Source organism: Homo sapiens, chromosome 4, assembly GCF_000001405.40.
Source record: "Homo sapiens chromosome 4, GRCh38.p14 Primary Assembly".
Classification (NCBI taxonomy): Eukaryota; Metazoa; Chordata; class Mammalia; order Primates; family Hominidae; genus Homo; species Homo sapiens.
In genome coordinates, this window is record NC_000004.12 from 143,186,997 (window position 1) to 143,199,094 (window position 12,098).

Consider the following 12,098-nt stretch of genomic DNA (forward strand, 5'->3'; position numbering starts at 1 on the left):
GGAGTTTTAACAAACGTTCTGTGTTCTGATGAATTTAATATATTTACGAAAGAATTACAAACGATGTATTTGCAGTATCTGAGTTGGTTTGTTTTTTTTTCTTATTGTAATTTTACTTCTATTGCCTGTGTTGTCATAACTGTTAGGTTCCTCCCAAATTTTTTGAACTGTAGCAGTAAAGGTACTTGTCTTGGATTTGCTTAATTTGTATACAGTTTAAGCAAAATCTCCACAAAAGTCACCTTAATTTCTACTTTAAGAGATTTTTTAAAAATCTTCCTTAGAGCAATGTAATGATGAATAGTTTTAAGTTATTTTGGAGGGTCTGAAGTGGGAGTTGAAATGATACTTAAGTGCCCCCAAAAGTCACCTTCATTTCTACTTTAAGAGATTTTTTCAAAATCTTCCTTAGAGGGATGTAATGATCAATAAGTTTAAAGTTATTTTGGAGGGTCTGAAGTGGAAGTTGAAATGATACTTTATGTTTCTTTATATTTCCTTTCTGATTAGTGATTTACAAGTTAATATTTTAGCTCAACAATAACTCGATAAATTATGAAAAATTAAAGTAACTTATGGACTAACCATATCAATATATTTCAGTATTCTGTCTATAGTATGAGTGATCATTGCTGTTCACTCCTAATCTTTCATTCCTGTAATTTAACATTCCTTGTAAATTAAGAGTCTACCCATGAGGGTGTAGCATAATAATCCTTCCTAGTTAACACCTTTGCTGCAATGACTTTTTTTTTTTGTAAAGTGTTGTTCTTTTTAAATACTTGAACCTACTTGCCATGTTCCCTTTTCTTTTTAATTGAAAAAACAGATGCATCATTTGAACCTTCTGTAGCATTGGCAAGCCTTGTGCAGCATATTCCTCTTCAGATGATTACAGTTCTCATCAGGAGCCTTACTACGGATCCAAATGTAAAAGATGCAAGTATGACCCAAGCCCTTTGCAGGTACTTCTTCATGACACTATTAATGGTAATTGTAGATTTGGGGAAGAGGAAGTATTTTGTATTTTGTGAGTAATGAAAAACTTACGAATGTTTAAAACTAAAATCATGGAATGACATATGTAAAGATTCTCCAAATAGATTGGAATTGTTTATAGCGTTGACAGGCATCCCAATAATTCACAAATCTATTTTCAATTCAACTTTTTTTAATTACCAAAATATACACACATATACACATATTATACACTCAGATGTTGATTGGATTATCAGTATACAGTATTTCACTGCCCATTATTGTTTCCTGCAACCTATTTCTTTCTTCTGCGTTTTTTTTTCTTTCTTCCTTAGTAAGTATATACTTTACTTTCTCTTTCAACCAGGCTCAATGTGTAATACACTCTTTGCCTTTGCCTGTTTGAATTTTTTTTCTTTCTCAGTTTTAAATAGATGATTTGGCAAGATACAGAATTCTAATTTGATAGCCATTTTCTCTTAGCATTTTAAAAATAATACTGTATTACCTTTGGGCATCTGTTGTTGCTCGTGGGAAGTCAGCTGTCAATCTGACTGTCATTCCTTTGTGAGTAGTCAGCTTGTCTGGAAACTTTTATGTTCTCTTTATCCTTGATGTTCTGTAATTTTATTCTTGCATTTCTAGGTATAATCTTAATATTATTTGCCCTTCTTAGCACTTTGGCACTTTTATTCAGTCATTCATTCATTTATTCAAACCACACTTACTGAGTACTTACCATGAGTGCCAGGCAGTGTTCAAAATGTCCTCAAACAAACTGATAAAAATATCTGCCTTTATAGGCTTGCATTCTAGTTGGGGAGGCAGACAGTAATTTAATAACACACTTCACTGATTCCAACATGTCTTCTAATTTCAAAGATGTTTAAATGTAGAAATGCCTAGTCATTCATGTCCTAGTTAAATTGGCACGGCTTTTCTTGCCTTAGTGGTATATAAGCTAATTATGCATCTTAAAATTGGTTTTGTTTTAGATTTGATTAAATATGATAAGTAAAATAATTTAGTATGTTAGATAGTGATACATGTTTGAAAAAAAAGCAGACAAAAAGAGGGATAGGAGTAGACAGGAAGGGGGACAGGTTGTGAGGAAGTGGTTTGCAATTTTAAATAAGATGGATGAAGAAGGCTTCACTAAGGTAACCATGAAGTGAAGACATGAAGGATGTGAAGTAGCAAACCTGTGGATATCTGAGGGGAAGAATATCAGTACTATTTTATAGTTCACTAATTTTCTCTTCAAAGGTGCTCATCTGTAGAGCTTACTTAGTTACTGAGTTTCTTTATTTCAATGACTATTTTTTTCTAATTGAGTTTTTTGTGTCTGTCTGTTCTTATTTAATACCTGCCTGTTTTTGTTTTTTAATTCTTTTCCTGCATGTGTGTGTATATTAAGCACATTTACATACAATATAAGGATTTGGACAAAATGGTTTCTGTGCCCCTGTTATAAAATTATAAGGTAACATATAAACTGAGCTATTCATATTGAGTTCTCAGCTGCATTTGTACTAACTTCACTCTCTGTAACACAAACTCTGGGGACTTTGATTTTCTCCACCGTATCCCCCTTTTCACTTCATTGTTTAAAAAGGTCTTCCTCTTCTAGCGTTTCTTCTTTCTTTTTGTGCTCTTAAACATAATTGAATCAATTTATCTGTAACTTTTACTTCCAGTTTCATACTATTCATTCCCTCTTTGACTTTCGAGATTTGTGAAGGTGCTTTGTACGTTTGAGAAAACTCTTATGTAAATGTTTTTCCTGTTGTGTGACCTCTACCCCCATTGCTTTTAATTTTGATGATCCCCTTGCTGTGTTTGATAATCTGTATTTTTATTCTCATCTCCTTGATATCTTTCTATTCATTGTTCTTGAAATTTTTGTCTCTGACACCATACTGTTAGGAATTTCTTTCTGTATCTATTCTTTTTATTTTCTTCCTTCCCATTATTATCATCACTTTATCAGTTCTGATCTGTATGTAGTTGACTTCCAAGTCTTTATGTGAAGTTCTCATTGTTCATTTATTTTTAAGAAACTGTTATCTTGTTCATCTCCTCATAATGTAACTCCTTCTGTGCCGTATTTAGCAGCAGCACACTTTTGTCAGTGTGACTGTAACAGCACTAAAGTGTCTTTCTCTTTGGGATGAATGTATTATAACTTCTATTTCCTCCTAGTAAAACACATTCAGAGAATTACAGATTTTACAGCTGGAAGTGAAATTAGAAATTAGTTGGTCCATCACTTTCATTGCATAGGGTAATAGTAGCAGATTTTCTTTACATGACATAAACTATTTAATACTCACCACAGTCTTTTGAAATAGGTACTGTTATTGGCCCCATCTCATAGTTGAGGAAACTGAGAGGTTAGATAATTTACCCAAGCTCGTTCAGGTAATAAACAGTGAATCCAGTATTTGAACTTAAATCTGGCTCCCAGTTATGATATAGTCACCAATGAAGAAACAAACCAGGGTAGTCAAGTTTCTCACTTAGGGTCACTCTCTTAGAGGCAGAACTTATCTTCATGGCCTGATGTTGGTGTTTATTTTTTCTCTTTTTTTACTTAAATTGACAATAATTCTAGATATCTGGTCACAAACCTATAAGCAATTTTCAAATCCATCCTTTCATTCCCTTTGATTAACATAATTAATAAGTCCTTTGGATTATTTCTTTAGGACATTTCTTAAAATGATGCTTATTCTATCCCCACTACCTTGAAGAAATCAGGCTTTCCTCGTTGCACAGTTTTTTAGTTGGTCTTTTTGCTAGCAGTGACTTACTTTTCTTATGTCAACCATGTGGACTCCTGATTTTTCTCTTCTAATTAAGACATTGTAGTGACTTCCACTACCTACTAAGTCGAATTCATATTCCACTTCTTGGCATTCAGTGCTCTTAATTTTCCAGCCTCTTCAAAAACAGTTATAGTACCCAATTTAGGAATTTTTTTTCAAGATGTATTTGGGAATTAATTTTTACTTATTTTTTTCTACGGGGAGTTGTGACTCAGTTTTTGTATTACATTTCCAGTGTAGCCTGCGTGATCCTATGTACCCATAATCTACCTGAAGTAATTACTCTTATACAGAAAATGTAACTGAAAGGGATAGTGATATTTGCTTTTACCATCCACCTCCCACTTTATACCTCCCCATGCACTATACTTTCCCAAACATAGCAGTGATCATGTTTATAGTCATTTTCTATAATCCATAGAAATGCAAATGCAAATGTAGATACCGTACCAGGACCAAACAGGTAACATTAAAATATGAAATAGGCCAGGTATAAGTGAAATGATAGGGAATGGGATACATAAGTACCTTCTAAAAGAGAAAACTGATCATCAAGTCCAGTTGTCTGTTAATACAAGGAAATTGGAATCCAGTCTTGTTTTATCTGATTTTTCAAAAGAAGCCTGAAATCCAGTTTTCTGTGTGAAATTTCTCAATGTTTAAAACATTGGAACAAATAAAAGGGAAGGCTGCCTATAGCCCACAAGCTGCCATGTAAAAATGGAAATTGCTGTTATTCTCCATAAATTACGATTAAACCAATCTTGGTGTCTTTCATAATTTTTGCCAGTTTTACTGTTATGGTTTTAAAGTTGCATGTACTTTTCTTTAGCTATATAAAGAAATGCTTTATTTAACAAATTTGAGTTCCTACTCAGTGCCAGGCACTAAGTGCTGGGAATCCAAAGATATATGAGAGATTACTGCTCTCAAGCTCACAGTCTAATGGAGACAGGTCGTGGAGTACATAAATGACAAGTATATAGTTAAATGTTATTTAAATAGTAAGATATTAAATCAGTATACCAGAGTTAAAAGAAAGTGTCCTTGGAATTCAAATTGATAATCACTGATACATGGTGGATAAGATTCCTATAGTTAACCATAAAAATAGCTTATCTTGCAGTGCCTGCCTGTACTGGAGAAGAACCTCAGACATGTGCAAGTCCAATCAAATTGAAACGGAACTGAAATATAATTAAAGTGTGGCAAAAAACATTGTATTCTATGCTGGCAGAGCTTAGTTTAAATGCCAGTACTATTATTTGATAACTGTGTAATTGTTGACAAATTTCCTAACTTTTCTTTCCTTTTTAAGGACAGAAACCATATCTTACTGTTATATTCTCAGCACCAAACACAGTACCTGCTATATAATACACAAATATTTATTTCATGAATGCTTTCTTAGTCTGTTTGGGCTACTGTAACAAAATACAGATTTTAGATTGGGTTATTTATGAACAACAGAAATTTATTTCCCACAGTTCTGGAGGCTGGGAAATCCAAGGTCACCATGCCTAGCTAATTTTTGTATTTTTAGTAGAGATGGGGTTTCACCATGTTGGCCAGGCTGGTCTCGAACTTCTGACCTCAGGTGATCCAGCCGCCTTGGCCTCCCAGAGTGCTGAGATTACAGGTGTGAGCCACTGTGCCCGGCCTTCAGTTGCTTTCTGAAAGAGTTGTACCAATCTTCATTGTGGTAGAGATCTAACTTTAGGGAGTGTCTCTATCAGATCCCATATTACTTTTTTTTTTTTTTTTTTTTTCATTAAATTGGTCAAGCAGATTTGGTGTCTGGTGAGGGCCTGTTCCTTTAGATGGAGCTTTCTGTGTGTCCTCACTTGGCAGAAAGAGCAGGGGTGCCCCCTTCAGCCTCTAATCCCACTCACTAGTCACCTGACAAAGGCCCCACCTCTTAATGCCAACACACTGGGGATTAGATTTTAACATACGAATTTTGGAGGGACACAAACATTCAGACCACAGCACCTTCTGATTTGTGTAACATCTGATATGAAGTTTATTTATAGGTGGTCAGGAGATTGGCATACATGAAATAAGGTAAAGAATGGAAGCTTTTGAGATGGAAAGGCAGAAATGGAAAGGATGAGAAAAAGGCTGACTGAGTAATGAAGGATAATGAAAAGCCATGGCCAAGTGGAATTTTCTACTCTCTGCTCTCGTCCTCTCTCAGTACTCTCTTTAGACTGGCCTTGAGACCTGTATTCTGGTGAGCCCTGTCTGGTTCTGCTCTGACAGTGTGACTTCCCATGATGCAAAGAATCCACAGAGCCAAGATGTGCTCACACATACCCTGCCTTTAGATTACATCTTTTTTATGTCCATATTTACATATATATTCACATGATTTTCTTTTAAACTAAAATTGTTTTTTAAAAAAACTGCAGTGGTTTTTTTTTTCCTTGTTAATTCAACAATTTCTCAGCTCTTTCCATTTTAGATTCCTCATGGATAGATTCATGTACATCTATCTTATTATTTAAAACTCTATATACTGTTGCATAGTATCAGTACCATAGTAGCCATTTCCTTATTGACAATCATTTAGGTTGTTTGCAGTTCTTCTATACCATAAACAGTGCTACAGTGAATACCCTCTGTACACATATGCAAGTGTGTCTCTGCTTTGCTACTCTGTATAAGTAGAATGGCCACAAAATTTTATGAGAATCACCCCAACAATAGTTGGAAGACGTGGAATAGCTGTCAAGGACTATGTTAATCACTTGTAACCATCATTGTTGGAAAAGGCCAGAAAAACAAGAATGGAAATAAAGTTTGTGTAGAGAATGGAGGGAACATACACATAACTTGTAGTTAACATGCATTTGGACTTTGGGACCACTCTTAATATCCGAATGGACATTTTAATTTTAAAAGCAAAAACCTTAATAAAAAACATTCCAGTGTTAATGTAGATAGTTATATAACACAACTGTTGTGAAAATAACCATATAAATGAAGATGTCAGTCCTTTGGCCAGGCACAGTGCCTCACACCTGTAATCCTAACACTTTAGGAGGCCGAGGTGGGCAAATCACTTGAGGCCAGGATTTCAAGACCAGCTCAGGCAACCCCCTTGGTGAAACCCCATCTCAGAAAATACAGAAATTAGCCAGTTGTGGTGATGCACAGCTGTGTAGTCCTAGCTACTCAGATGGCTGAGGAGAGAGGGTCGCTTGAGCCTAGGAGGCGAACTTTGCAGTGACCTGAAGTAATGCTGCTGCACTCCGGTCTGGGTGACAGAGCGAGACTGTGTCTCAAAAAGAAAAAAGATGTCAGTCCTTTTAACATAGTAGTTGTTGTTTTAGTAATGTATTTATGTCCTTAGTGTTTATATTTACATTTTGTATAATCAAGGTATTTATTTATTGCCACATGTATTAACATTTGGTGGAAGAGAGGCATTCACAATGTTTCCAGTGTTATAGATTAATTCATTTAATCTTCACAACAGTGCTATAAAATAAGCATGTTTATCTGTAATTTACAGGTGAGGAAACAGAGAGGTTAAATAATCTATGTAGGTATTTAGGGTCCCCTAGCTAATAAATGGTGAATTGAGCTTTTTAAACCAGTCACTCTGGCTTCAAAAACTCATTTTTCCCCTTTCTATTTTCTTAGTATATAATCCCAAAAATAGGACTACTAGGTCAAATTATATGAACATTTGCTTCAGTTGCTTTCTTTTTTTTTTTGGAGACGGAGTCTCGCTCTGTTGTCCAGGCTGGAGTGCAGTGGCGTGATCTCGGCTCACTGCAACCTCCGCCTCCCAGGTTCAAGCCATTCTCCTGCCTCAGCCTCCCGAGTAGCTGGGATTACAGGCACGTGCCGCCATGCCTGGCTAATTTTTGTATTTTTAGTGGAGATGGGGTTTCACCCTGTTGGCCAGGCTGGTCTCGAACTTCTGACCTCTGGTGATCCAGCCGCCTTGGCTTCCCAGAGTGCTGAGATTACAGGCGTGAGCCACTGCATCTGACTTTCAGCTGCTTTCTGAAAGAGTTGTATCAATCTTCATTGTGGTAGAGATCTAACTTTAGGGAGTGTCTCTGTCCAATCCTATATTACTTTTTTTTTTTTTTTCACTAAATTGGGTAATTTAATGAGTTTTCTTTCAAGAAAAGCACTCATTAGTGCAAAATGAAGCCATTACAATATTTACAGACTTAGTGCTTTTTTATATATTTGAAGTTTCTTTTTGTTCTCTTTGTATAGTCGGATTTGAAAAAGATACCTCTTTCACAGTTCAAAATACAGTCTTTTTAAACAGTACATTTCATATTAGACTGTACTCACCAGGAAGGAGGAATCTTGGATCATATTCATATGTCTTAGTTCAGATTACATTTCAGCTGCTCTTTTTAGAGTAAATTTGCCTAATAAATTCTTGATACAGGTTGAGCATCCCAAATTTGAAATGTTTGAAAATCCAGTACTTTTTGAGTGCTGACATGATGCTCAAAGGAAATGCTCATTGGGACATTTCAGATTTCAAATTTTTGGATTTGAAATGCCCAGCCAGTAAATATGTAATGCAAATAATTGAAAATCCAAAGCACTTCTGGTTCCAGACATTTCAAATAAGGAATACTCAACCTGTGCCACTATATAGCATAAATTTTAAGTTTTGCGTTTATGCAAAATAATTTATCAGAAATTCTTTTTATGGAAATATGTTGGATATGAGAAACTGTCAGTTTACAAGATTGGAAATTCCATGAGAACAAGCACCTGTTACATTCACTTCTACATCTTGGTCAGTGCTTTTCACCAGCAAATTCAGTAAATGTTTATTCACAAAGTGAGTGATTATCTACTGTAACTCTTGTTATCACTAACTAAATGAAAATATTTTCAATAATGATTGTTTCATTTTCCTTCAATTTCAGAATGATTGACTGGCTATCCTGGCCATTGGCTCAGCATGTGGATACATGGGTAATTGCACTCCTGAAAGGACTGGCAGCTGTCCAGAAGTTTACTATTTTGATAGATGTTACTTTGCTGAAAATAGAACTGGTAAGTGGGAGTATGGAAATCTATTAGAATATATAGACTCATAAAATCAATATTTTTTTCTTTGGGTGGTATCCTTGAAAGCATCTAATTTTGAATATGTTATTGTTGTTTTGTTTTGAATAACAGTTTGAATAGGCTTTAGAAATTTTTTTAAATGTCATTTAAATATAAGTAATTAGGTTGGGCATGGTTGCTCACAACTGTAATCCCAGCACTTTGGGAGGCTGAGGCGGGCAGATCACTTGAGGCCAGGAGTTCAAGACCAGCCTGGCCAACATGGCAAAACTCCGTCTCTACTAAAAATACAAAAATTAGGTTGGCATAATGGTTCATGCCTGTAGTCCCAGCTGCTCAGGAGGCTGAGGCACGAGAATGACTTGAATCTGAGAGGCAGAGGTTGCAGTGAGCCAAGATAGCACCACTGCACTCCAGCCTGGATGACAGAGCAAGACTGCGTCTCAAAAAAAAGTATAAGTAATTAAAATAATTTTTTCATTTTCAAATATCCAATATGAAAACATTCTTTCCATTATCTCTTGAGTCCAGCTAATCAAGCTTTTACCACCATTACTCTACCAAAATTACCAGTGGTTTCCAGTGTTGCTAAACTCAAGAGTCATTTCTCAGGCCTCGTCTCATTTGACCTGTCAGCAGTATTTGGCACAGTCGATCACTCCCTCTTGTTTCCAGGACATTATACTCTCCTGATTTTTGTCCTCCTTCACAGGCTTATCAGTCTCCTGTACTTACTCTAACTTTTAGAATGCCTTACAGTTCAGTCTTTGGTCCATTTTCTTCTCAGTGCATACTCACAGCATAGGTGTTCCATGGCTTTAAACAACATCTCTAATTTGATGACTGCCAGATTTATATTTTTAGTCCATTTTTCTCCCTTGAACTCCATATTCATGTATCCATCTGTCTTTACATGAATCTCAGATTCACTTTATCTACAATCTTATTCCTGACTTTTCCCTCCCAGACCTAGAGGCTACTCTATCCTTTCACTTGCTCAAGCCAAAAACCTTGAAGCTATTCTTATCTTTTTTTCATTCCCTCTCAGCCCATATCCTACAAATTCTACTGATACCACCTTTAGAATATATCCAGAATCCTACCACCCTGGTCCTACATTATCATCCCTTGCTGCAAGATTGCAGCAGCCTTCCTGCTCCTGTCCTTGGTCCCCTGTACTTATCACACAAGGTCCTATGTATTCTGGCCCACTTTTTCTCTAGTCCCATTTCCCACTGTTACTGCCTCGGTCTCTTGCTTCACTTACACTGCCCTTTTTTCTTCATCTGTAGCACACCAGCCTGAAGGCCTCAAGGCCTTTGCAATGCCGTTTGCCCTGCCTATAATGCTCTTGTCCCAGGTATTTGCAAGGCTTATTCAATTCCTTCAGTTTTACAGTTGGATATCACTTCTTTCATGAGGCATTTATTGAACGCTATATAAAACAGCAGATTTTTTTGCTACACAGCATTCCCTATTCATCATACCCTGCTTTAAATTTCTTAATAACACTAACCACCATGTGTTACTTTTTATTGTTTCTACCTGCCCTCTAGATGGTAAACCCTGTAAGAGAGAGATGGTTTTTTGTTTTTTTAATCCACTGTTGTAGCACTAGTTCCTAGAACTAGGACAAGTAATAGTATGTGCTTAACAAATATTTGTTGAGTGAACTGAATGAATAGTGGACTAGGGAGCTATTGCCTTGTAAACATAGTTTGACAAATTTTTATTTAATTGGGGAGTTTTAACAGTTGGTTAGGCCAGTTACATTACCCTTGATCTCTGTCACGTTATTTCCTAACTTCATCCTTCTCCCAAAGTTTAATAATATAAGTTATGTTAGAACTTTCCAGAAGGGGGACATTCATATAAATAAATTCTAGCTCTAGGAAAATAACCACTGTTGGATTAATGATTTTCCTGCAAATTCTTAAGAAGGTGTCTTGTCTTATTTTGAAGGTTTTTAATCGACTTTGGTTTCCTCTTGTGAGACCTGGTGCTCTTGCAGTTCTTTCTCACATGCTGCTTAGCTTTCAGCATTCTCCAGAGGCGTTCCATTTGGTAAGTTATGACATAAACGTTCTACTTTGAAAAAGCCTCAATTTGAAAATTTAGTTTAATATTGAGTCACATTTTTATGTAGTGAAAATATTGCAAGTTAGTCCCAAATCTGTTTTCATATAGCTTTATGATTTCCTAGAAAATTGAGATTGTGAGATTTCCCTCCTAGGAATATATTTTCGTGTCTCATTCAAACTACTCCACTTGCAACAACTACCAGCAGTTGAGAGTTACTGTTCACATGGGAGATGTCACTGATGGATGTCTGTTGCACAAATGAACAGTATAGAAGGATTAAAATGATTGAAAACCACTGCTTTAGAATTTTGAAAGCATGAAAACACACCAGTCTTTGCAGGCTTTTCATTCACTCTCAGCCTACATCCTACAAATCCTGTTGACCCCACCTTTAAAATACATCTAGAATCCTACCACGTTAAGCCAGCTGAATCATTGGCGTTTATTTGATTTCAATTATTTGATTATCAGTTACTGCAGATGAGAAATGACAAATTGTAATTTTGGTCAGCTGTCCATTTACCACTCTAGGGCATCATAGGAAAACAGTGCCTTTGTGTGGTTACTTAATTCTTCCAAAGACTAATCCTGTTTTATAGGACTAGAAACTCATTGTCAATAAACCCACAGTGGAAAAATCTTAGGAATACTGATTCACCATAACAAACTTTAGAGGAGACTAATGAAGTTCAGAATTCCATTTGTTTTTATTTATCTAGAATATATTCACATAGGTTGCTCAGTGTCTCATTTCCACTGAAGGAAAGTCCACAGGCTTTGTAGTAAGTAAACCTTACTAGCAAGTAATTACATTACACATTACCACTTAGGATGAGTGATTTCTGCAGTTAATTGCCCTAATTTTGGTGAATTTAATCATCAAGCAGTAACCTTATATATATGTATAATACAAACAGAACTCAAACTCTAAGATAGCAGGTGTACTAGCAAAGTCTTCCAAGAAAAAAAACATCAATTACTTGTCCTTGTCTTCAGGCACAATCATGTGTAAGACATTTGAGAAAAGGCTTTGTTTTCCACATTTTTTTTTTAACTTGTTAGATTCAGGGAAACATGAAAGTTTGTTACATAGGTAAACTCATGTCACATGGGTTTGGTTTACAGATTATTGCATTACCCAGTTATTAAACC

General features: G+C 35.8%; 1 protein-coding gene across 4 annotated transcripts in view; it reads left to right on the forward strand.

Annotated features, from left to right (window-relative positions):
- USP38 (ubiquitin specific peptidase 38) overlaps window positions 1-12,098 on the forward strand; it is a 38,958-nt gene that overhangs the window by 2,080 nt on the left and 24,780 nt on the right. For 3 of the 4 annotated variants that reach the window (NM_001290326.1, NM_032557.6, NM_001290325.1), the window contains exons 2-4: window positions 830-965; window positions 8,720-8,849; window positions 10,827-10,928. Coding sequence is in view for 3 of the 4 variants with exons in the window: in NM_032557.6 (NP_115946.2) it covers window positions 830-965; window positions 8,720-8,849; window positions 10,827-10,928 (368 nt within the window). In the remaining variant the exon portion in view is untranslated. The remainder of the gene's footprint in view (window positions 1-829; window positions 966-8,719; window positions 8,850-10,826; window positions 10,929-12,098) is intronic. The other variant, NM_001410848.1, reaches the window with a different exon arrangement.